The sequence below is a fragment of the Homo sapiens genome, chromosome 3, assembly GCF_000001405.40.
Source record: "Homo sapiens chromosome 3, GRCh38.p14 Primary Assembly".
Taxonomy (NCBI): Eukaryota; Metazoa; Chordata; class Mammalia; order Primates; family Hominidae; genus Homo; species Homo sapiens.
In genome coordinates this window covers 40,228,897-40,255,672 of record NC_000003.12, presented here as the reverse complement: position 1 = coordinate 40,255,672, position 26,776 = coordinate 40,228,897, and the positions used below count along the sequence as shown (strand labels likewise).

Below are 26,776 nucleotides of genomic sequence, written 5' to 3'. Positions count from 1 at the left end.
GGCTCATGACTTAACTACTTTATTTTATCAAAATTTAAACATCTTTCCTCCTTGTTTTCTCTCAATGCTTTTTATCTGGAATTCTCCTTTCTTTGAAAGTAATTATTTCTGCCCTATTTTGCTTTTATTTGTTTAGTAAATATTGTCTGTTCTTTCGTTTTTAACCTTTCTGTGTTACTTTAAGGTAATTTATTTTTATTTTATTTAAAAAACATATTGAGGTGAAAGCCACATAACATAAAATAAACCATTCTAAAGTGAACAATTTGGTGGCACTTAGTATGTTCACGAGGTTGTACAACTACCACCTTTATCTAGTTTCAATAAATTTCTGTCACTGTAAAGTAAAACCCCTTACTCATTAAGGAGTTTCTTCCTGTTCCCCCTTCCCACAACCTCTGGCAGCCACCAATTCATGTCCTGTCTCTATGAAAGACAATTTATTTTTAACTTTCTTATTTGTAACCAATTCCTTCCCTGACACTAGTGGTCTGCCCTTTTAGTGTGATAATGCATCTTTTTCCGCTCTGTGAACTAATGGTCAGAAGCAAGGGAATTAGACTTTAAAAGGTCAGGGTTAATGGCTGACCAATGAAGAGAAGGCAGTGAGTAGAGCTATTGCCATGTAATGCCTGAGAGTAACTTTTATTTCAAAAGGATGTATCCACCATTATGCCATTACGTGGTGCTTCTATCCTCATGAGACAGGGACAATGATAGGGAGGAAGAGGAAGGGAGGAATGGGTGAAGGATAAAAGGTAACAAAATAAATTTGTCCTTGTTTTAGTCTTGTCATCTCAGACATGATCTGCCCTCCGCTTAACTGGTATCACTGAGGCAGCTTAGTTAGATGATAATTTTCTATGTAAGCAGCATCAAGCATTTGCCAAAATTTTGACATGTATGTTGGTTTTGTGAAAGGAAAATAAATCTGGGGGGGTTCCCAAATTGCTAAGCTAAAGGGAAAAGTCAAGCTGAGAACTGGGTCATGCAAGCCTGCCTCTCCTTTCAGTTCCTAAATAAGATGGCTACAAGATGAAAAGCTATATGCCTCCCCCATATTTTGCCCACATGGAAATTCCTAGTGAGCTCCAAGATCTGTACCCTAAGGTGTTTCTGTTAAAATTTCACCATAGCAATGCAAATTGATAGCTTATCTTTACAGGTGCAGTCACCCCGCCCCCACCCCCCCCAGACACAAATGAATATCTGATTGTTCTCCTGCCCCACTCTTTCTATATTATCTGCTGTAAAAATGCAGATTCCCTGCATTATTCCTCTGCCCCATTTGTCTGTGTCACCTGATGTAAAAAAAAATGCAGATTCACTGAGCCAGACAAAGGCATGAATGACTATTTTTCCCTACCCTCCTCTTACATGAAAATTGTGTACTTCTCAATAGCCTGCCCTTTCCCTTTTAAATTTGGAGCCCTCAAAATCACCTTCGGAGAAAGGCATAGACCTGTCTCCTGTGTGCACATCCTTAACTTTGGCAAATAAACCTCATAAAATGATAGGGACTTGTCTCGTTATTTTTCTCGATTGACAGTTTTTAAGCAAAAGAGCCAACAGTCCTTTCTGTATAATTTCTAGAGTTCATGCAAATTATTTACTGTCTCTTCCTTTGCTACATTTAGGAGTAGCTGCTGACTTTTTTCAGGAACACAGCATTAATGGCTAATGAAAAATTTAAGGAAGAGTGAATATGGACTGAAAACAGAATAAAAATTGTTACACCTCAACCAGACCTTAATCTTCCATTTACATATTTTCATTTCTCTTATATCAAACCTGCTTCCTCCAAGGAGCTAGAGATACAGTTGAGAGGATATACCCACATATTAAAGAGGTATATAGCAGGTAGGATGTTACTCACTTAGTTGTAGAACCCCCGTCCCTACTGCTAAACGAACCCTTAATAGCGGCTACACTGTTAGGATGTCCTGATCCAACATCGAGGTTGTAAACTCTATTGTCAATACTGATTCTAGAATGGGATTGCGCTGCTATCCCTAAGGTAACTTATTCCGTTGATCAAATTATTGGGTCAATGTGTATTAACTCACTAAGACTAGTGCGATCTTAGTTTAGGTTGTTTGGAGGTTGAATTATGCTCCAAGTTCACCCCTACCAAATTTTTTAATGCAGGAATAGTAGGCTAGGGCCTGTAGGCTTGTTTGAGTTTTTATTTGCATTAATGAATTAAAGCTCCATAGGGTTTTCTCGTCTTATTTGTTTATATCCGCCTCTTCACGAATAGGTCAATTTCACTGATTAAAAGTAAGAGACAGCTGAACCTTCATATGGCCATTCATACAAGTCCCTATTTAGGGAACAAGTGATTATGCTACCTTTGCACGGTCAGGATACCGCGGCTGTTGAACATATGTCACTGGGCAGGCAGTGACTCTAATACTGGTAATGCTAGAGGTGATGTTTTTGGTAAACAAGCGGGGTAAGATTTGCTGAATTCCTTTTACTTTTTGTAATCTCTCCTTAGAGCATACCTGTGTTGGGTTAACAGTGTAAATAATAGGGTGCTTATTATATTGGTTATTAATATTAGGCTGTTAACTGTCAGTGGGTTATTCTGGTCTGATGTAAGCTTATGCAATGGAGAATGTCTTCATGTTACTTACATTAACATTATTGCTTCTATTAAGTAATAGATTAGTCCAATGTGATGTTAGGAGTTCAGTAGACTGATTAGAATTTAAGATAGTTAGCTGTTGAGCTTAAACGCTTTCTTAATCGGTGGCTGCTTTTGGGCCAACTATGGTGGTAATATTTTTTACTCTCTGTAGGAAGGTTGTTTCCTAGGGTCTAAAGAGCTGTCCCTCTTTAGACTAACAGTTAAACTTACAGGGAGATTAAGTAATTCTGTGGGTAAGTTTAAAGCTGAACTAAGATTCTATCTTGGACAACCAGCTATCAACAGGCTTGGTAGGCTTGTGACCGCTACTCATGCATCTTCCCACTATTTTGCCACATAGGTGAGTGTGCTCTTTCAGCTGTTCTTGGGTAGTTCATCTGGTTTCGGGGGACTTGGCTAAAGTTCTCTGTGTATAGTTATTTCTAGTTAATACATTATGCAGAAGGTATAAGGGCTTGTCTTTGCTTTTTAGTGCTTGATACAGTTCTTTCATCTTTCCCTTACGGTGCTATGTCTATTGTGCCAGGGTAAAAATTTCTATCGCCTATACTTTTGTCTAAGGTAAATGGTTTAAGATAGTTGATAATATTTTTAGCAAGGTTTGGGGCCAGAGTTGGCTCAAAGTGATTAGGTCATGATGAAATCTTCTGGGTGTAAGCCGGATGCTTTGGGTTAAGCTACATTTTGGTATGTCCAAGTGCAATTTCCAGTACACTTACCATGTTACGACTTATTTCCTCTATACTTGCGTAGAAAGTTATTAGTAATAGTGATTTCTAGAGTAACAGTTGAGGAGGGTGACCGGCGGTGTGTGTGTGCTTCATGGCCTTATTCAACCAAGCACTCTGCTCTTGGTTTACTGCTAAGTCCACCCCCCAGTCAAATCCAACAGACCATAAGACCACGGAGGAAGGATACTTTTTGGGGGTTCTGATGCGGGAGCTACAGAAGGAAAGGCTGCAGAGTGGAGGTACCATCAACAGTGAAAGCGTTGAACATTAAGACAGAGATGACATTTACCATCAAATCCTTGGTGGTGCCTTTCCTTTCCTTAGTCCTGTTTGTTGAGGAGCCTTGGAGAATGAAGTTGTGGTTAAATGTTTTAATGGTAGTCACTGAAGATGTCTCAATTTTTTCAGCTAAAAGGAAATAAATGGGAAAAAATGTTACCCAGAAGATGGACTGATTGATTGTTAAGGAAAAAACAAGGTGGCCAGATTACTCAGACTTTTGTTCTAGACTTGGAATCTCATTCCTGTACTGTGTTTGATTGACTATGGGATCTTTTTGTTTTGTGTTTATTTTTATGATGGACAAATAAGTCAGGGCATCATTGATAGCTTTCTGTGGAACGATAGCTCAGAGATAACCCAGTACAGTTCATAAATACTTATGTGCAGTCCTGAAATAGAAAAGGTTCTAAAACTTGCAAATTTTTACAACTTTGGAGCCAAAAGAATCTGATTATAAAACCTGACCTGAACTGACATGAGGCCATTTAATGTCCTTGTCCATCTCATGGAGTGCAAATGTTTTTGTGCTCTGCTGTAAGGATATTCATGTGTTTGTTTGATTTTCAGATGCTGCCTAGATGCCATGGGGGGTGTAAAGAAATATACAGCACGTGTACTATATTACCTTTCTAATGCCCAAGAAATTATGAAGCACATAGGGACCCAAGGGTTTCAAATAAAGGACTGTGAATCTGTGATAAATTTTAACTGCATACAGTTTTGTAGATTATAAACATTCAATAAATGTTTGTTAAATGATCAATAGCAGAACCAAGGCCCAAATGCACATTTTTGGACTTTCTCCTCCTCTAATTTGTAAATCTAAATTTCTAGTTTGGTATCACCCTTTTGTGGCTTCTGAACCTGGGGCATTTGTTGAAAATGTCCATTAGATAAAGGCGACATGACTGGCATTGCCAGATCATTTCTAGATTGGACACTGTGGCAGATACTTTTGGTGTTCTGTTCACTTCTCTTTGACAGTCACCATTCCAGCATATTCCAACAGATCCTACAGCAAGTACCACCACTCTGTCTTGGCTCATGCATGGGGCAGGTCAGAAGTACCAGGGAGTTAATACCTCTAGAAGTAACTCTCAGCCAGAGATGGATGGGAGTTTTAGAACAAATATCCCATCTCCCTGCCCTTTGGGCAGAAAACTCTGAGGTGCAGCCAACATTGTCTCCCAGAGGTCACCAGGAGGACTTAGCTTTATTTGCCCAAAGAAATAACTCCTAATTCAAGTACCCTGTATTGACTGACTTAATTTCTTTCTCTGAATCATTTATCTTCTTCTCTAGCAGTGCACCTTCCAAACAAGCTACTTTCACTCCTATCCTTGTCCCAGGGTTTGCTTCTGGGGGGACCCAAATCAAGATAGACAAGAGCAATTCTGTGTGAGAACACTCCATTAGATCTAATTCTCAAACTCAGGTCTCTTTGTTACCCAAAGTAAATGATTCAGGCTTAATTTTTTGGTAGCTTTGTGGTTTTAATTTAGCATACCTTTCACCGGTGGAGCAGGCAGTTTCCTCCTTTGCTGCCTTGATGTATCTATGGTTTGTACCTACAAACAGAACACAATGAGCAATATACCTTTGCAGAGCCAAAGATATTTTGTCTTCTAAATTTTCCAAGCCATGTAACATTCCAACAGAGGGAGAAAGGGACAAACACACCTGGGTCCTTTGCTTCTGATCCCGTCTTCTTGTGAAGCGCACACATGGTGCTATGTTTAATCCTGCAATGGTCAGGGCTGAAATCCGGCTCTCAATATCTGAAATCTTAAAGCAACAGAAAGACAAGATTGGCAGGGAGAAAATACGGAAGGGGAAAATATTTCTTAAAAGTGTTAAGAATTTATAAAGACAAATCTGCTTTGATGTATGCTCATTCATTCATTCATTCATTCAACTTCTACCAAACACTCCTCTATCTAGTGTGTAGCAAGAAAATAAAACACAGGCCTTTCTTTATAAGTTTAAATTTCTAGTTTGTTAGCTCTAGAGCATGTCAACAATCCTGTCAGAGTATGCCTGGGGATAAATGAAAGCCTGGGGACACGATGGGGACCCTGGCCCGGGGCCACCTGGCTCAGCATGGGGGTGAGAAGTGGTCAGGGAAGTCATAGGATTTATATGTCCTGTTATAGTCATTTATATGTCCTGCTTTCTTCTTCCATAACTTCATGAATCCAAAACCACAGCACCAGGTTTTAGAAGGGAGGCCTAGCGGTCCCTGGTTCAAGTCCATCTCCTCCATTAAGAAGCCAACCAGCCTTGAGAAACTCTCTCCCCTCTCTGGGCATCATTTTCCTAATTTGTAACATGGGAAGGTCAAGAGAGAGCTCAGATTTTCTTTCAGCAGAGTCTGAATGCAGAAATGGAAAGTAAGAACCCACTTAGTGCCCAGAGAGAACCCTGGTCCTCCCCTGTCTCCAGAAATGAAGATATTGTCCCTGCTCTTAGAAAAGGGCATTATTATGTGCCAGGAACCATGCTAAGTGTTTTAAATAATTCTATGAAGTAAGTACCATTATCTTGGTTTCACAGATAAGGAAACTGGCTCAAAGGGACAAGTGATACACCCATCATCTCACAGCCAATCTGGGCAGTGCATGGAATTCATGTCAGTGGCCATGCTCTCGTCACATTGCCACAGTCTGAGAGGATGTGCCAACACCCGGTATGGGGGACGCTGGAAAAGGCAGGGAAAGGCTAGCAGAGTCAAGGGAAGAGGTCAAGATTCTGCTGAGATGGTACATTCTGAGTGTTGTTAGGGAATCAGACAATAAGCTGATGGTAGACCCTAGCCAATGTGTGTGTGTGCTCCACACATGAGGTCTCCATTGCCTCTCAGCCCTCCACAATTCTGTGCTACTCAAGACAAATTTGAATTCTGCTGTCATTTACTGAGGGCTTCTTTGAACAAAGTCTACTGTGATAGGAGCTATAGGAGGTACACAGAAAGATTGAAGGGTCAGCAAATTTGGAAGATGCATCCCCTACCCCTGAGGGGTGGCAGTCATGGTCAGAAAAGGAGGAGGAGGTAGGTGAAGGCCAAGTCTGTGGCAGCTGGTAAGAGAATTACAAGCTACCCAGTAGCCAGCCCCAGAAGGCACCACTTGAGTCCTTCCCTTCCTGGTCCCCAGATGCCTTTCTGTTCTTAATCTTCAAATTTCACATTAAGAACTGCATTCTTTTGGTTTATGAACCAACAAATTACACAAGCCTCTGAGAAAAGTTGCAGGCTAAGCTTTTACCAGTCATAAGCAACTGGTGTGGATTAGATGCTCACATTCTTCCCTGGAAGCAGTTTTGATGGAGGGCCTTGCTCAGAGGGCCCTGGGAAAGACAAGGTCAATGGGAAAGCAAGCTGCTGACCTCTTCATTTGTGGACTATCAGGTTCTGGAATAAGAAAGGGCTAATTTTTCAGGTTTCAGTCCATAGGACAAAGGACAAAGAAAGAGGAGGCTACTGAGGGCTGATTTTGCCTGTATCTTCTCTCTCTATATAATTATGTCCCACTTCTAGAACTGCATGTCCAAGGAGCTATACATTTGCTAGAAGGGGATGACCAATTCAGCTCTGAGTTTCCTGGGAGCCAAAGCCAAGAGCTCCATGTCCACAAGATCGAAGACCAAGTACTCAGAAGAACAGCTTTTCCTGATACTAGGAGTTAAGAGAAGCTTTCTCCAGGAACTCTCATAGAGACAACTTGCATGATGCAGTGGACAGCACCCTTAGCATGCTCCACAAGGGTCATTCTGCAGTCTCTTTCAGCACTGGATAACGGCACTCTGTCTCAAAAGTAGACTCTAAGTAAGTTGATAGCATCCTTAGACTCTGTCCTAATATTACCAAGAACACAATTTAGCATATGTGCCCCCCTCAATGGGGACCCTCCTACCATCCTGCAAGAAATCCTCTGTGAAACTAGACTTTGGGTGAGAACAGACAACAGGGAGTTGGAGGCTTCATTCTCTGGCACCAGTTAGCCTGGTGGGGAGAATTTCCGCATGCCTGGCGGTGCAGTTGAGATAATCCACAAAGCTGAAGGCAGGGTCAACAACCTCCCATGCCATGCAAGTTAAGGACACCTAGGCAAGTGCGTGTATGCCTGAGGGCAGGACCAACACATTTCCCAGGAAACCACACAGCACAGACTGGTTAAGAATGTGAGCTGTTTGGCGCTGGATCATGCCTGTAATCCCAGCACTTTGGGAGGCCAAGGCTGGTGGATTACTTGAGGTCAGGAGTTTGAGACCAGCCTGACCAATATGATGAAACCCTCTCTCTACTAAAAATACAAAAATTAGCTGGACGTGGTGGTGCGTGCCTGTAATCCCAGCTACTCGGGAGGCTGAGGCAAGAGAATCACTTGAACCCAGGAGGCGGAGGTTGCAGTGAGCCAAGATTGTGCCATTGCATCCCAGCCTGGGCGACAGAGTGAGACTCTATCTCAAAAGAAGAAAAAGAGTGTGGGCTATGAGGTCACGAAATTTGGATTAAAATCCCGGTTTTATCACTTTCTAGGTATTTGACCTTGGGTAAGTTTCCTCAGATATAAAAGGAGGATAGTAGCAGTAGCTCACTTATGGGGTTGCTGAAAAAAATAAATACAATAATGTGGTAAACCATTAAGGACAAATACCTAGTACAAAATAACGCTCACAGAACATTGGGAATTATTGATAACATTATTGTAATATTTAAAAATAAATGAAAAATTAATAGGCACACATTTAAACACATGGAAAATGGACATTTGGAACTCTAGAGTTTTCTGCCATAAAACATGGCTACAATAATTTAAGTCTAGAAAAATGTGGAAGGGGGAATAACTATCCAATAAAGGGGGAATAATTATCCAATAAAATCCTCCCAAACACCCATAAATATTACTTCCTGCAAAATCATTCAAGAAGTATTTGCTACACAATGTAACAGAAAACAAGTGATTTGATTCTACTTAATATATCTTTGACAATAAATTGATTAAGTCTTGGGTGAAATTTATGGAAAATAATTTTTTTTTAGGAGAATTGCTGTTCAGCCATTCTTACTGATAATAGTCAACAGGGCCATCTATCTGATAAGCTCATTTCTAGTTCACAGCATTGACCCATCCACAGAGTGGAGAATTGTGCCCTTTCATTCTCTAGAGTGGTTAATGATGTCAGGAGTTGTATTTTTGACTCAATAAAGTGAAAATATTTACTTTTAAAATAATTACCACCTGAGAGTGTCATTGTCTCTGTGAAATGAAAATAAAATCTCGGGACCCCCAATTCACTATGCCAAAAGGGAGAAGTTTGGAAGCTGAGTCACAACCCCCTCCTCCCTGTCCCCCAAAACTGCCTTTCCTTCTTTTGTTCCTAAACTGATAGCTACAGATAGAAGGCCACATGTCTTCACAGCTTCCGTCACCCTCACAATGTAAATTAATAGCTTATCTTCATGGGTTACAGGACAAGAGGAGACTAGAAATTGTCCCCTCACCCACCTGAAAATAAATGCATATTTGACTGCTTCCTCTCTTCTGTTTACTTTTACTTTATCTTATGTAAAGCACAGATTTACTGAGTGCAAGATGAATACATAGTTGACCATTCCCTTTACCCCTCCTTTTCATGTGCAATGGGCAGATTCACAAGAATGTCACCAAACCCTTCCTCTTTCCCTCCATCTATTTCCGCTCCTGCCCACTTTTCCCCTTTAAATATTGAAACCCTCAAAATCCTGTTTGGAAAAAGTGTGAGCCACAGATCCTACTGTGGTTTCTGTCTCTTTTTTTCTGGGTGCATCCTAAATCTTGGCCGAAAAAAAAACCCTCTAAAATGATTGAGACTCACTTCAGTCATTTTCTTTGATTTATGTCTCTATCTAGATATGGTTTTATTGACGACCACAGTTCTCCCAATGATTCAGTTTTAAGATGCAGGATCTATTGCAGTGGCTCACACCTGTAATCCCAGCAGTTTGGGAGGCCAAGGCGGGTGGATCGCCTGAGGTCAGGAGTTCGAGACCAGTCTGGCCAACATGGTGAAACCCCCGTCTCTACTAAAAATACAAAAAAAAAAAAAAAAAAATTAGCTGGGTGTGGTGGCGTGCACTTGTAATCCCAGCTACTCAGGAGGCTGAGGCGGGGAATTGCTTGAACCAGGGAGGTGAATGTTGCAGTGAGCCAAGATCATGCCACTGTACTCCAGCCTGGGTGACAGAGTAAGACTCTGTCTCAAAAAAAAAAAAAAAAAATCAGCAAACCAGGGGTCTATACTGAACTCAAGCTGCAGAGACGAGTGTCTCTCAAACTTGAGTAACACATGGAGCCCTTTTTTTTTTTTTTTTTTTTGGAGATGGAGTCTCACTCTGTTGCCCCAGGCTGGAGTGCAGTGGTGCAATCTTGGCTCACTGCAAGCTCTGCCTCCCGGGTTCATGCCATTCTCCTGCCTCAGTCTCCCAAGTAGCTGGGACTACAGGCGCCCGCCACCACTCCCGGCTAATTTTTTTGTATTTTTAGTAGAGATGGGGTTTCACTGTGTTAGCCAGGATGGTCTCGATCTCCTGACCTGTGATCCACCCGCCTCGGCCTCCCAAAGTGCTGGGATTACAGGCGTGAGCCACTATGCCTGGCCTACATGGAGCCCTTTTAAAGAAAAAAATTGTCATGGGTCCCAAGAATATATCTGTAGACCCTAGTTTGAAAATCAGTGGCTTAATCCATGGTCAATTTTTTACAGAGTCAAAGGCTACGGGAATATCTGTGAAAACTTCAAACAGCCATAGTCACAAAGTTATAGAGACTATGTCAATCAGTTCTGAAATAGCCGTATCTAAATCCTCCCTGTTCCTCATGAAAAATATTGTCCTGAGAAATCTATGCTTCCAATTTCCTTCATTTGTTCACCCCATTTTTATTGTGTGCTAAATCTGTGCCAGGTATTGTGCTAGGCACTGGAGTTACATGTTAAGCCACACAGCTATAGTTCTATTCTCATGGAGCTTTCAGTCTATAATGGGGAATATTACTTAATAATATTACTTAATAAGTAATCAACAGTGTGACAAGGGTCAGAAAAGGATGGTCTTGGAGTGGAATGGAAACCTGTATAGTAGAGAGACCTATGTATGGGTCAGGAAACTTCTCAAAGAGGAAACTGGTATAAGGTTTAAAGGGCATCCAATATATTATCGAGACTTTAATTTGGCAGAGAAGAGGACTACACTTTTAAAGGGAGAATTTGGTGGAATCCATCTGGAAGGACTGTATCCACGCAAACATGCTGGAGATGATGGGAGCTGATAGATACAATGGCTTTAAAGTGATTCTTGTAGAACATGGGGCTCCCTGTTTCACCCTGCAGGACCCATGTGGGCAGAGAGGAGAGTTCTCACCTGGAGTTCAGCATGGTGGACTTGGGCTGCAGCCGTGGCCACCTGGTCCTCCAGATCCGCCAGATGGGTCTCATCAGTGCCACTGTGGATGCAGCGGGCGGCATCTTCTAGCTCAGTCAGCTGGGTCTCCAGTCCATACACAGTGCCTGCTGCCAGGTATACCTGTAGAGACAGTGCTACATTTGAGTTCATGTCTGCAGACTTGGGACTGGTTGGGGGTCCCTTGAGGGGACCCCAGCAATTCAGGGGAGTGAGATAACTGGACTTCACATTGCAGGGGGGATGTTATTTTTATAACATTTATAAACGTTCTTCACACTTAAATGTGTGAGGTCTTGACACCCCTCACTGTCAACCACACCTTCCCTCTCCCACAAACTTTCCTGTAAGAAAAAGCATTTCAAAGTTGCTTTTGTTCAAATAGTACAAAATACATGACATCAGCTATGCGAATTGTGTATTGGTCCAGTGACTATAAAAATGACTATAAAGAAGAAACAAAGAGACTCATGATGGAGTTTTGCCAATACAATTTTTGGTTGGCATTTAGTAATTGAGAAAAAAATCAGAAAACAAGAAAGAGGGGAAATAATTTAAAATAATTACAAATTTTGAGTGAATTCTCTCTGATTAATTAGCTTCTGCATGCTTCAACGAGGTTAAGGGAATTAAAATAAACCTGAAGTTTGTAATAGAAAAATATTTCTTAGAAAATAGTGTGATGTTAAGAGAAGCATGTATCTATTTATCTGTCAATTAGGACAATTGTTGAGAGCTGTTAAAAATAAGAGAGCAAGTCTGATAAAGAAATTTAAGAAAAAGAAACATTTTTTACTTACAGGTTTATAAGGTTATTCCCATAAAAGTGAGCAAGGTGAAATCCTTGAAATAATTCAGACTAAGGGATGTGGGCCAGGGTGAATGAAACAAATACCCCCCCATCCTAATCAATACTGTGATGAAGCAACCAACAACATAAGAAATGAGATGTATCTAAAGAAAGTAATTACTTAAAGAGAGGTTCTTGAGGTTTAATCAACATATATAAAATCCTAAACCTGTAATCACAGCAATTTAGAGTTGATTTGAATGAAACATATGGCCAAGACTTTAACAGTTTCCTTAATTTGAGTTAAAAATATAGCAGAGTTGAAGATGAGTCAAGAGCTCAGGTACACTAGTCATGCACTTTTTTTTTTTTTTTTTTACACTTAGTGATGCTGTGTTGGTGAGGGAAAGAAGCCTGAGATGTTCCCACTCTGTCAATTCCTTGGCATGATTCACTCATCTGTTTTAAAACTGGCAATTTTACAAAACATTTCAAGGTGGAGCAAAGGCAGGTACAGGTTTGATGAAAGCAAATTTGCGCATCATCATCAGGCATAATTACCTGGGCTGTGGGAGCTTTCAGCAGTGACTGGTACAGAAGATGTCACATCAAATGATTCACCAGTCATACAGGGGCCATGAATCAAATGTCTGATGGGAATTGCCACACTTCAGTTTATCTTTTGTTTTATATTTCTTTATTATATGCTGAATATGTAATTCTGTTTCATACAGAGAAATTCTGTTTCTAAGAGATCTTCACAATTTAATCTTAGCCATTTATTTTTGTTTTTAAAGCAAGAAATGATTATTGTCAAATGAAAGAAATGATAAGTATTTCAAAGGTATTTGAGTGAAGAAATTATTCAAATAATGTATCACAAAATTTCTCAAGTTGAAAAACTTCCCTTTAGAGGGTAAAAAAATAATTGGGGGTGGGGAAAAGGGGGAGAAACAGAGAGAGAGGTTTGAAGTTTATCATACTTTTTTAATACTTTTCCCTATCTACACCAAAAAAGTAAATTTATTTTAATAAGATAATTTAAAATATAAATCTACAGTTTTACACAATGAGACAACATTTGGAGTTATTTAAGTGAAACGAAATAATTTAAGCATGGCAGTGGTTAAACATAACTTGACATAACTAAGGTCTTGGAACCTTGATTTTAGCAGAAACACGCAAAACTCAATGTCATCACACCCTGGGATGTGCATCAACCTGATTGCTATTTACATCTTCAACATGTTCATTCACTAATCTTCCTTTTTTTTTTTTTTTTTCCTGCCAAGACAAAGCAAGATGAAAAAGCTCCAAGCCCTCAGCAAGGCCAGAATGTTCATGTTTTACTCTGTGTTCACTAAAAGCCTACTTTCCTGGCACCAGGAGGCAGAAGAGATTTAGTGGTTTAGCACTGATACCAGCTGAACAGGAATTTACAGCCAAAGTGATGGTGCCTAAAGGACTGGAGGAGGATAATGATGATGATGGTGGGGATGATGATGATGATGATGATGACAGCATTAATTTATTGAGCCAGTGGCTAAGCCAAGGGTTTTATGTGACTTATATATGCTCATAGCAACCCTTGAGGTAGAGACTATTATAATCACTGTGTTCAAGATGAGAATTTTTTTGCTCTAGGAAGGTTTAGTGACTTTCTGAGGTCTCACAGCTGGGGACTGGTGGAGCCTAGAAGTGATCTCAGGAGGGCTGAAGCTAGTTCCCTTGCCTTTATCCTCCTTGCCCTATGATGCTGTGATAATCTCAGTTGGAATGTTATAACATTTTGCATTTCAGATTTTAACATAAAGGTACTAGAGTTACTATGGTTATAGATGGATATGATATTGGCTCTGTGGCTGGCTTGAAATAACAAAAGGTAACATGCTATATGATGAAAATGTTATTCTAGCTTTATAAAACATAACCCATTTGAAAAATATTCACTTGGACTTGCTTGGCAAGTTAAGGTCCACTTTTGGTGAGAACTGTGGTTACCATGTCTGAGTAATCTATGACCCCTTCAAACTCTAGTCATTGATGCCTGTGATTGCATTCACTGGCTCTTGGTTCAACAAGGCTTTCTCAGAGTGGTTCAAGGCATAAGAATAGGTGTTTCCTTAATGAAACACCTATTTGTGATTAAATTCTCTAGAATAAAGAGTGTTAAACAGATTTCTTTACTGCAGGTCTTCACAGAGGCTTTAATGTACTAATATGTATCTCAATTTTCCTAGAAAGAGTGTGCAAGCTTCCCAGACTTATTTGACCTTAGAGCATCTTGTTGGATGTGGCTTCCATGAATTATACTTTAGGGGACTAATGTATTTCTTTCCTTGCTCTCTGAGGGCACAGAACCACCTGAGTAACCATGGTTGTCTCCACAAGTTCTAGTGCTACATCCTCTTTAGTGCTGTAAGGGTTGTAGGAGAACTTTAAGAAAGAGGACCAACATCCTCTGCATGGATCTGGATTCAGTGGCAGAGCTGGGCTCCCTGTAGTGCAGGTCTACTGTGTCTGCTGCCACTGGTTGTATACTCCATGGGCAATGTGGGGTGGAGCTAAAAGGGAAGTTGGGTTTGCTCTCCATTCCCTCTGAGGCTGGGGATTATGGGTTACTTACAACCCTGCATACATCCTCAAGGTGGCAGTCCTACTATTCACACCACAGGTCTGAGAATGCTATGCTAGTCCTTCTCTGTTGACCTTCTAGGGCCATTTTCTATCCTTCTTTGTCCTGCCCTGTTCCCTGGGAGGCCGACCAATTTGGACTTCATCACCAGGGCTTCCTGGCTGTCTGGGATGGGTTTGACCAGTGGAGATACCACTGTCTAGGGCTGGTAACAGCTTCCTTTTATTGCTACTGTTCCACCCTCAGCATCCCTTAACCTTGCCCACACCTGAGTTAACAGCCCCTTTCATGAAACTCTCCTCTTCCAGCCAGACCCCAATAGGTACAGTGGAGCTCTTCACAGCAAGAATTTAAAATACCTACAGACCAAGGCATTCAGCCCAAGGAACTGAGCCCCCATTGCGTGCTGCTGTGGAGGGTGGGATTAGTCCTAGGTTGTTTCTGCCTTTAGGGGAGACAAGAGCTGATTTCACAGCACTAATGCCAGATAGCAGGTGAGGAGTGTCAAAGCTGAGAGACAAGATAATTCTCAAATACCCATGCCCTCTTTTTTAAGCCCATCGGAAAAGCGCAGTATTCGGGTGGGAGTGACCCGATTTTCCAGGTGCCGTCTGTCACCACTTTCTTTGACTAGGAAAGGGAACTCCCTGACCCCTTGCGCTTCCCGAGTGAGGCAATGCCTCGCCCTGCTTCAGCTCGTGCACAGTGTGCGCACCCACTGACCTGCGCCCACTGTCTGGCACTCCCTAGTGAGATGAACCCGGTACCTCAGACGGAAATGCAGAAATCACCCGTCTTCTGCATCGCTCACGCTGGGAGCTGTAGACCCAAGGCTACAGTAACCAAAACAGCATGGTACTGGTACCAAAACAGAGATATAGATCAATGGAACACAACAGAGCCCTCAGAAATAATGCCGCATATCTACAACTATCTGATCTTTGACAAACCTGAGAAAAACAAGCAATGGGGAAAGGATTCCTTATTTAATAAATGGTGCTGGGAAAACTGGCTAGCCATATGTAGAAAGCTGAAACTGGATCCCTTCCTTACACCTTATACAAAAATCAATTCAAGATGGATTAAAGACTTAAACGTTAGACCTAAAACCATAAAAACCCTAGAAGAAAACCTAGGCATTACCATTCAGGACATAGGCATGGGCAAGGACTTCATGTCTAAAACACCAAAAGCAATGGCAACAAAAGCCAAAATTGACAAATGGGATCTAATTAAACTAAAGAGCTTCTGCACAGCAAAAGAAACTACCATCAGAGTGAACAGGCAACCTACAAAATGGGAGAAAATTTTCGCAACCTACTCATCTGACAAAGGGCTAATATCCAGAATCTACAATGAACTCAAACAAATTTACAAGAAAAAAACAAACAACCCCATCAAAAAGTGGGCAAAGGACATGAACAGACACTTCTCAAAAGAAGACATTTATGCAGCCAAAAACACATGAAAAAATGCTCATCATCACTGGCCATCAGAGAAATGCAAATCAAAACCACAATGAGATACCATCTCACACCAGTTAGAATGGCAATCATTAAAAAGTCAGGAAACAACAGGTGCTGGAGAGGATGTGGAGAAATAGGAACACTTTTACACTGTTGGTGGGACTGTAAACTAGTTCAACCATTGTGGAAGTCAGTGTGGCGATTCCTCAAGGATCTAGAACTAGAAATACCATTTGACCCAGCCATCCCATTACTGGGTATATACCCAAAGGATTATGAATCATGCTGCTATAAAGACACATGCACACGTATGTTTGTTGTGGCACTATTCACAATAGCAAGGACTTGGAACCAACCCAAATGTCCAACAATGATAGACTGGATTAAGAAAATGTGGCACATATATACCATGGAATACTATGCAGCCATAAAAAATGATGAGTTCATGTCCTTTGTAGGGACATGGATGAAATTGGAAATCATCATTCTCAGTAAACTATGGCAAGAACAAAAAACCAAACACTGCATATTCTCACTCATAGATGGGAATTGAACAATGAGAACACATGGACACAGGAAGGGGAATGTCACACTCTGAGGACTGTTGTGGGGTGGGGGGAGGGGGGAGGGATAGCATTGGGAGATATACCTAATGCTAGATGACGAGTTAGTGGGTGCAGCGCACCAGCATGGCACATGTATACATATGTAACTAACCTGCACATTGTGCACATGTACCCTAAAACTTAAAGTATAATAATAAATAAAAATAAAAATAAAAAAATACCCATGCCATCTGCTAATTAAGGGGGTTAAGGCAGTTTGTGAAAACAGGAGATTGGATATGTAAATGCTGATGTTTCTTTATCTTATGTAGCTCTGAAACCTTCAGAAGTATTTTTATTTTTTTTTCCTTTTTTTCCCATTTTGCTCAGGACCTATTGTGTCCCTCAAGGAAAGAGATGCCACAGTAAAGCCAATCTGAGGTCCTGGGGAGATCCTTTCTCTCCCTCCCCATTACAGAAGCCACACAGGCGAAGCCTAGTGTAACTGGGCAGAGCTGGGAGTCTTCAGAAGTATTTTTAAAGGTGAACATTCTCAGCCAAATGTTCTTTTTCTCCCCCCGAGTCCTGCCCTGTGGTAACCAATGTTCAGAAGGCGAGAATAGTGTCACCGTTTCTATTTCTGACAGTCCCTAGGTTCCCCAGCACAATGGAGAACAGCGGAGGAGTGCAGGACTGTTCTTTATTCTGCAGACCAACAAAAGCCATGATTTAATGAGATCAGCTGCACCCAGAGGACAGTTTAAGAACTGCCCTGGCTTCTCCCACTGCTCAGCTGAATTCCATCCGGGAGCAGCAGAGCAAGGCAACGCGCCCATGGCTCTGTGATCTGTTGAATTAAAGAGACGAAGAAAAGTCATCCCTTCCCTGACTCAAAAGCACATGAGTTCAAAAGAATATAGATGGGGTTTCTTCTGAGGTGAAATTTAAAAAGCTGAAGGATGGGGGAAGGGAAGGAGAAGGAAGAAGGCAGTTAACTGTTTGGGAACAGGAGAGGCATGAGGGGTGCAGAAGAGGGGAGCAGTCATCTACAGACTGGGCCTTCCAGCCATGGTCCCTGCTGGGGCTTCTGACATCTTCAGTCTGTAAGTGGATGTATTTTAAATAGAAACTGTTAATGAACCCAAAGGAAAAAAAACATACAATTAAAGGATCTTACAAGATGAAAACTCCAATAAGGCCATTGCATTCTTTTCAACATGCTCCTTGGAGGTAAAGATAAAAGGGCAGGATATCTTTGTTTTAAGTGTGCTATGAGAACTGACCATTGTCATTTAAACCAGATATTTCACACACTGTTTTTTGGTACCATACTTGTAAAAAATACATTTGTTTGCTAGTGAACCATGTCTTTAACCCTTTCAATTGTGTGTGCCCAGGATCAGGGCCATCTCAGGACTCAGCTGTGTTAGAGACACATTTAAAGAACAGAGACCCTGTGCATGAGAAGTCAAGCAGTTCTTTTTAAAAGGGGCTTCATTCCTCTGGTGTAGTCACACATCAGCTGAACATTCACTAAGTGCTTCCTCTGTGTCAGGCTCTGGGTGGTGGACTGGGGCTAGGCTACAGAAATAAAAGGTGGTAAACCCTGTTCTACAGGAATTTATATATCTCATTCCCAGTCTGGGGGTGATTTTGCCCTGCCCCAAACGCCTAATATTTGACAATGTCTAGAGACATTTTTGACTGTCACACTGGGAGGGTGCTGCTGCTGGCAGCTAGTGGGTAGAGACCAGGGGTGCTGCCAAGTATCCTGTGCACAGGACAGCCCCCACACAAAGAATTACCTAATCCAAATGTCAATAGTGCCAGCCTAATGGGAGATGGATGAGTGAACAGAAAAGATGGAAAGTGTGAAAAGTGAACAGACAGATACATGCATAGGTTTTATGGGAGCCCAAAGGAAGAGAGTCTTCAACTTTTAAAGTGAAACAAGCATGCATATATATATAATTTTATTCATAGAGATGGGATCTCACCATATTGACCAGGCTGACCTCAAACTCCTGGCCTCAAGCAATCCTCCCATCTTGGCCTCCCAAAGTGCTGGGATTACAGGTGTGAGCCACCACACCCAGCCTGCATTCAAAAAATTTTTATTTCTTGTTGTTTTAACTTTTATCAAAAAATACTTCAGGCTGGGCATAATGGCTCATGTCTGTAATCCCAGCCCTGTGGGAGGCCAAGGCAGGAAGAACCCTTGAGGCCAGGAGTTTGATACCAGTCTGGGCAACATAGCAAGACCCCATTTCTACTTAAAAAAAAAAACACTCTCCAATAACAATTCCTGATTTCTGGGAACAGCATTCATTAGAGCACCTCAAAAGCACAGTTGACTCTGCAGGAGCTGGCATCACCTAACTTGATTTGATATCAACTTCATGGCTAGGGCCATGCCAACTGATGATGGTGACTACAGCTTGAGTGTTAATGTCCAAATTTCTCAGTGTCACCCTTGGTCTGGAGTATTGGGAAATTCTTATCATCAGCTATTTCCTGAAATACTCAGTGATCATGAATATTTACCTGTAAGAATTTATTACACTGTTTTTTTCATCACAAATCAGGAGGACTGAAAAATCCATTACTAGCAAATATACCTGTTAGGCCAAACCAAACACACAACTCCTCAAGGGACAGTAAGAGCTTTCCTGAACTCCAAAGTCATCAGTCAACACCCACCCCTCCTCCAGGCCAGGTGCCTCTTACTTGACAGCCAAGAATTTTTTCTTCTCTTTGAATGGAAGGGGGAAATTACAAAGTCCTTTAACCTAAACATAGTCATGCTTTGCTAAATAATGAGGATGTATTATTAGAAATGCAAAATTGTGTGAACATCATAGAGTGTACTTATGCAAACCTAGATGGTATAACCTACTACACACCTAGCCTATTGCTCCTAGGCTACAGCATGTTACTGTACTGAATACTGTAGGCAATTGTAACACCATGGTAATTATTTGTGTATCTAAACATAGAAACGGTACAGTAAAAATACAGCATTATAATCTTATGAGACCACCACTGTTGTATATGTGATTCGCCATTGACCAAAACCTTATTATGTAGCACATGACTATATTTATATTTGCGAATAGCTTTTAGGAGTACAAACTAAATGGTATTGAATCTGGAGAAAGGTAAATGTAAGCACTGTCTTCTCCTCCCTCCAGTACATTGATTTTGCCTTCAGAGATGTACAGGTTTCCACAGGGAAACAGCTGACTTGGCTGATAGTGTTTAACCCTTCTAAATGTTGAAATGGATTGTGAGTACCTTCCCCATTCATCCCCTTCCTCCTTTCCAGACATCTGGTAGATCTCACCTCCTTTCCCTGTGACCCTGACTCTGAGGCATGGCTTCCTTCAGGCAGAAAAGGACCTGGCACCTGGGAAAGCCCAGCTACCTAAGTCAGGGTCCTCAGAAAAAGCAGCAAGTAAAAACGGGATGAAATGAGGCAGATGAGTCTTCTGGGCCACTCTGCTTACAGTTCAGTAAAAATGGATGATTTTTCAGTAAAGCAAAATCACCAATAGGACTTGTTTTATTTCCTTTCTTTCTCAAGTGTCTTTCTCTTGAAAGCAGCAAATGCATACTTGTTCCAGGATGAGAGAAAGAGCTAAGAGTGTTTTTAAAGTTGGAACCACTTTTAACAACCCATTCTTTAGTGAATTTTAATGGGATCATTTTAGGAGTTAGCTGATGACATGCCTTTCAAATACTAATAAGAACAGCCAACATTTATTGTGTACTTTTTTTCAAGCATTATGCTAAATGTTTTATTTCCAAAGAAGAAATGTAATTTTAAATGTAGTTGATGTTAGGCATTTTCCTCTTGATTGGCAGATCCACTAGCAATGGCTGGTTAGCATCCTTATTGGGGAGCATAGGAATTGGGGAGCGGGAACCATGGCAGTCTGAGGTCTAAATGTGGTCATAAGGTAATGCAGTAGAGTCTTACTCAGTTCCCAGAGTGCTTGGACAATTTTGGAGTGGCGTGTGATAGGCTCAGAAGACAGATAGTGGGCTTCTTGTTGCTAATGGCACAAGGAGGCTTGGGTGATTCATCAAAAACATAAATTAAATATGATTGTGTTGGTATCTTTTTTTTTTTTTTTTTTTGAGACAGGGTCTTGCTCTGTTGCCCAGGCTGGAGTGCAATGGCACCACCTTGGCTCACTACAGCCTTCGCCTCCTGTGTTCAAGCGATTTCCTGGGTCAGCCTCCCAAGTAGCTGGGATTACAGGCGCCTGCCATGACACCCAGCTAATTTTTGTATTTTTGTAGAGATAGGGTTTCACCATGTTGGCCAGGCTGGTCTCAAACTCCCGACCTCAAGTGATCTGCCTGCCTCAGCCTCCCAAAGTGCTGGGATTATAGATGTGAGCCACAGTGCCTGGCCAGATTTTGTTGGTATCTTAAATTAGAGAAGCAGAGAAGACCAGTTGTAGTAACTTCAGTTCTTCTGGCAACCACTTCATTCCCTGTAGTGGCACTGGCAATACTCCCACCTGGATCCCCTTGGATCTCCTTTATAGTTTCTCTATACTCCTCTCCCTGCCCACTAAGCCTCAGTGTGCTTCTATTCCCAGCAGCCCATATCTACACAGGGGACTGCCTTTGGGCTGCTGGAGACACTGCCTGTGTGCAAAGAGACTGAAGTGCCTGCTGGTTGTAGGACGGGCCAGTTCTTTTGCCTTAGGTCAGGACAACTCTGAGATGCAACTTCTACTCCAGAGCTCCCTGCAGGATCAGGCTGAAGCTCCTCTTTGTGTAAGATCATGTCCTTGCTTGGATTCTTCCCTTTCCCTTACTTTCCCCATTCCCTTACCAGCCTCCCTTGGGAGCATTCCCTAATAAGTCACATGCACACAAATCCTCATCTAGGGTCTGCTTCTGGGGAATCCAACCTAAGGTCCTTCCTGAGAATGTATTTGCTATAGTGGTAGTGGTGTGTGTGTGTATGTGTGTGTCCTTGCACTCTTCACGATAAGCTACAATTTCATCAGCTTCTTCTTCACATACATTCACCCTAGACAGGGCACCTCCATACCCTCTTACATTTTCTTCCAGGGAAGTCAGCTGCTCATCCAGTCTCACTTGGTCTGTCCCACGAGGAAACATCCCCTTCTGTCTGTCAGGAGGGACTTGTGGGGACTCCCAGGGCCCTGTAGATCCTGCTATCAACTCCTCTGTGGCATTGATGACTTTCAGGACTTCTGTGGAGATGTTGCAGAGAGAAACAGCAGAAAACTTCTGTTTGGTCCGATAACAGAAGGGGACAGAAGACAAGAACAGCACATTAACAATGACACAGAAATTCTATGTTATCATGACACTCATCATCATGAGGTTGATTCTGTAATTCCACACACAAACACCAATGTGCTGAAGAATGAGAAAATTAAACTAGACACAGCAGAAGAGAACTGAGGGGAGGCCTGATTTGACTTTGCCTAGTTTCCGTGACTTGTAATTATTTCAGATTCTTGGTGAGGGAAGGAGGAAGGAGTGCTAGAGTGGAAACTGTATGTCCTCTGCTCACTGCTGGTAGTTTAATATCTCTGACCTTATTTGCTGAATAATATTCTACTTCATCAGCAAAACTTCAGTCTCAGACTGAAGTGTGGTCCAGTGGGTAGCTTTCTGGACTGGCATTTAAGAGACCTGGGCTCCAGTTCAGGCTCTAAATTCACCCAGTTATGGGACCTTGGTCAAGTTATTTCTCATTTCTGGAACTCATTTTTGTCATCTGTACAATGAGAGTACTAGAAAGAATTTCTCTGTGGTTTCTTGATAGACAGTGTATTAACTCACACACCTATTTGCAAGCCCATTCTCTCTTGCTTGCTTCTACCATGGGGGTGAACAGGAAAATAATAAATTTTCCCACTTCCCTTGCAGCTAGGTGTAGTCATATGACACAATCTTGACTAGTGAGTCCACAGGGAAAGCCTGAGGAGTTTCTAGATAAGCTTTTGTTTTCCTAATCAGGGGAACTGGTGCATCTAATGCCCCTTTCTTCCACCCCCGCTTGTTTCTGCCTTAAACATAGACTTGCAGCTTATGAGCCAACAGAATTGAAGATGAATGCCAAACCTCCAAGTGAGATGGGGCAGAAAGACTGAAGGAGCTTGGACTCAGAGAGTACTGGATTGGGTGAACCACTGGGAGTCATCACCTGCCTCTGAATATCATGTTATGTGAAAAAAAGATCCCCTATCTGTTGAAGCCACTGTTGGCCAGGTTTTCTGTTATCTGTGGCTGAACGTGTTCCTGACTGACACAGGTCACTTCCAGCTTTTATGTTCATGGCTCAAAATTACAATCAACCCGGATTTGGGCCAATGTCATTAATGAAGCAGAGGCACAACAACCCCAAAGAATTATCTGCATTTTTGAGTTCATCTGAACATATAGCATCATGCAATAAGCTGGAGATCACTGTTGCTTGGCAGTCATGGTTTCCATCTGCAAACAATTTTGTTTATCTCATCACATCATTTGTAAATTAGAAGTTGAATACTGCTCACAGGCATATTTCGTGTGACCAGTAAAATGTTTGGTAAGATATGCCTTCCCAAGGTACCTATCTGACCCATATAATCTTGACCAAAATATTAATGATAGCTATGACTTGATTTTGCAAAATGTGTTCCTCCGAGTGAATTCTATTTTAGGTTTTGTCTCACTAGAGAAGGTTTCCGATGGCCCTCCCACTTCACTAGAGAAGCAAAGGGGCTAAATGACAAATTAGTGGCTGAGTCTGCAGTCCAGAAGCTGACTCTGGGCTTCTACACTGAGGCACATGGTCTCACACCTGTCAAGCCGTTCTGGGGTGAGGACACATGTGCCAGAGGGCTCCTCCTTAGCCTTAGCCTGTCTGTTCCACAATAGCTGCTTGACTGACCCAATAGCCATGTTTCTGTTGGTTCAGGGGGCTTTGCTACATACCAAAAAGGTAGAATCTGGGGTCCCAGGGGAACGAGATAGAGGGAAGGTGATGCAGACCCACTAGAATAAGGGCAATGTCCAAGAGAACAGCCAGAGCCAACTCTTCACCTTAGGAAAAATGTGCAGAGGATGTCCCCCACTTTTCAGGACCTTGTAGCTTGATGTGGCAGATTTTGGAGACAAATTGGGCTCAAAATAATTTTGGCAAGAACCAGCTACCACTTCTTAGGTCTGTTTTAGAAAGGGCAACATTGTATGCATGAGAGCAGATTTGTTACCCTTTTATTAGGAATAAAACGTGTTTAGAAAAATTGCCCCTTATTTGGTAGACACAGTGCCTTTGCAGATCTTTTGAAAAGAAAGATATATGACCAAGGGATTCAGAAAAAAAAGTTAGACCATAGCATGAGGGAAGGGAAAGTAAAAATTTACACAAATTTCCAAACAGCACAGTGCATTAAAGGTCCAAGGTATTAATGGAAAGGACTTAAGAGATGCTTAAACAGAAAGAGTGATCTGTATTCTGACTCCAACTGAACATACAATCAAAAGGGTAAGTTGGCCATCAATACTGTTTGACCATCATTGTTTTATTCCATCTATAAACAGCCTTGTTTATTCAGTCATGAGAGTTGCAAGCTCAAAGGCAAATATTACCCATGGTTTTTGGCCTGGAATACCTCCTGTGAGATATGCACTTCCCAGTTCTCTACATTCCCCACGGTTCATTCTACATTTTTATTGGGAACCTATGGTGTGCCAGCTCTGTTCCAGGTGCTGGGATAAAGCAGTGAACAAGAGGGATGTAGTTCCTGCCCTCACGCATGCCTTTGGCCCTACCCCGTCCACTTGTCACGTTGACTTACTGTCTTGGCCCCTGAAGGCATTTGCATCTTCCCTTAAGTCAGAGTGAGGAGGCCCAGGCAGCTGGTCTGAGGAGAGCGCCACAGCTTCACCTGGAACACCTGAGGTCTGCTTAAAGACCTGGACCATTTCAGAAGGGAACCAGCTTCCAGCTGGCAGAAGTGACTGAACGGGCTGGGCGTGGTGGCTCATGCCTGTAATCCCAGCACTTTGGGAGGCCAAGGCGGGTGGATCATCTGAGGTCAGGAGTTTGAGACCAGCCTGGCCAACACAGTGAAACCCTGTCTCTACTAAAATGCAAAAATTAGCCAGGTGTGGCGGCAGGCACCTGTAATCCCAGCTACTTGGGAGGCTGCAGCAGCAGAATTGCTTGAACCTGGGAGGTGGAGGTTGCAGTGAGCTGAGACCCGCCATTGCACTCCAGCCTGGGCAACAAGAGCGAAATTCCGCCTAAAAAAAACAAAAAAAAAAAAAAGAAGAAGTGACTGAACAAAAATTATATGAAAACTGGACAAGATCTCTTCATTGGTTGATGTCCCCATTTTGCTTTCCACTGGGAAAGGCAAACTGGAATCCACAGCAATTTCCCACCTGTAGGGAATCAAGTGTTTCTTGTCTGTTCCTTAGGAATGGGCTGTTTGCTTGCACCTGAGGGTGGGTGTGGACCATGCACCTACTGGAAGTTGAGATAACTTGGATTTCAATAGCTATATGACAGGGGCAGGGCACTTAACCTCCCTGTTCCTTACTGTGCTCACTGGTCAGTGAAAGATCAGCTTTCCTACAGGGCTAACACTGACTTGTAATGTAAATGTCCTGTTCCCTGTCCAGTCTAGAGAAAAGTGAAAAGCACCTCCTACAACTATGTTAAAAAACTTATATTTAGCACTGGATGGGGGTTTGATCAGATGAAAAACTGGTGGAGATTCAGAGGTGGCTGACAGGGAGCCCTGTATGTGGGAGAAATGAAAAGCTAAAGGATCCTACCTATTTCTATTGCTTACAGCCCCAGAGGGATGAGCTGAATGGCACAAAGCACGAGTTGAGAGCCCAGACAGAGCATGCCATTGTGGTAGCTGACTTTCTCCAGATATTAATCATAAGGGAAATCAAATATGGGTTTTATGGTAGCAAATGAGGGAGAAGTGAAAGCATGGAGAGAGTCAGCTGACACAATAGGAGGCTTTGCAGAACAGGAAGGTGAGTCTCAAGACACTTGCAGCTAAGGGACCCAGATGATGGAATGAAAATGGCTGGTAAACCCATGTAACACAACCTTCTAGTGAGCAAAGAAATACAAATTAAATAACACATTTATTAGGTGCCAGATACATGCAAAATTCTCTTTTTTTAAAATGCCAAGTGTATGCCAATATGCCTTAGTGCAGGTAGCATGTGTTGAACTTTGAGCTGTTAACCCACCACAGGATGTGTATCTGTGCTCTGAGGCAGCCATGCTCTTGGTGTCCTGCTGACTGATGCTCACCTCTGAGAGCCCAGGTGTCCACTTCTAGGGTTCAGTCTGTGTCACAGCCCCATGCAGAACACCAAATCTACAAGGTCAGCTTCACAACCACCAGAGCTGAAACAGTCCACCACTTGGGGCACAGAAGATGAGGAGAAGCACACTGGTGTTGCAAGCCCACCACAGAGCCACAAGGACAGAGGAACAGGAAGGTAAGATCTGACTCCTCTCAGCCTGAGATGGAGTTTCCTCAATTGCTCATTAATGAGGTAGCGAAACTACTGTCAACCTCCGTGAAGACAGGCTCCCAGCCCAACTCACAAATGACACAGTGCTGAAGCAGGCCTTTACGACAGTCATTTACCGTGCCAAGGTTGCAGCCCTGCCTCAGTGGCCATTTCAGTGGTCCCAGTGAATATGACCAACTCGTGCCCTGCGCAATTCATCTCAACTCTATCGTTTTTTTCCTCTAGGGACTGTAGGCAGAGTAAGACTTGTATTTTTTTGTCTCAGGACCCAAATACACTTTACCTTAGCAATCTCTCTGTCTTGTGTTTATATGCTTTCTCTCCGTATAAAAATGTGTTGCTATAAACAAATTTCTACTCTATGTACTCTTCCCTATCAACTGTTTTTCAAAGACATGGAGAATGCAAGGTGTTGCCAGGGGAGAGCTGAGCCTGTAGAATTCTAAAGGAGAAAATATTTTCATTCTAAACAGTAGCTATATCTGCTCGTTAGCAATCTTTGTAAATTCTCCTGAGATTTTCCCAGTGTCATCATTCATTTCTAAGCTTTGTGTTGCACAGAAAATTGCAAATTCATTTCAAGCTGGAATAATCAGGAATGCTCTTTACCAGAATATCTTACTCTTGTGAATGTGTGAGCAGCAAGAGTGTGCTCTAATAATCGGATGTCTGGCTTCGTGGAGAGAG

At 42.1% G+C, this 26,776-nt stretch overlaps 1 protein-coding gene, 1 long non-coding RNA gene and 1 other non-coding gene across 9 annotated transcripts in view, besides 1 other annotated feature; 1 reads left to right on the top strand and 2 right to left on the bottom strand.

Moving 5' to 3' along the window:
- Positions 1-26,776, bottom strand: part of MYRIP (myosin VIIA and Rab interacting protein) — a 451,408-nt gene that overhangs the window by 4,649 nt on the left and 419,983 nt on the right. For 5 of the 7 annotated variants that reach the window (NM_001284423.2, NM_015460.4, NM_001284425.2 and 2 more), the window contains 5 exons: positions 21,620-21,814; positions 11,066-11,227; positions 5,347-5,451; positions 5,174-5,234; positions 3,674-3,792 (listed from right to left, as the gene is read on the bottom strand). In NM_001284423.2, the coding sequence (NP_001271352.1) occupies positions 3,674-3,792; positions 5,174-5,234; positions 5,347-5,451; positions 11,066-11,227; positions 21,620-21,814 (642 nt within the window). The remainder of the gene's footprint in view (positions 1-3,673; positions 3,793-5,173; positions 5,235-5,346; positions 5,452-11,065; positions 11,228-21,619; positions 21,815-26,776) is intronic. The other 2 variants (NR_104316.2, NM_001284424.2) reach the window with 2 other exon arrangements.
- EIF1B-AS1 (EIF1B antisense RNA 1) overlaps positions 1-26,776 on the top strand; it is a 136,554-nt gene that overhangs the window by 54,026 nt on the left and 55,752 nt on the right. The window lies entirely within an intron of this gene.
- LOC124900557 (small nucleolar RNA SNORA64/SNORA10 family) lies at positions 16,932-17,065 on the bottom strand. The gene has a single exon (XR_007096304.1). It is a non-coding gene; the product is annotated as a small nucleolar RNA SNORA64/SNORA10 family (small nucleolar RNA).
- Positions 25,962-26,041: an enhancer, noted in NCBI's record as "active region_19713". NCBI's record gives its function as "activates an Ori minimal core promoter by ATAC-STARR-seq in GM12878 lymphoblastoid cells {active_cell/tissue: GM12878}" and the evidence as "EXISTENCE:reporter gene assay evidence [ECO:0000049][PMID:35858748]".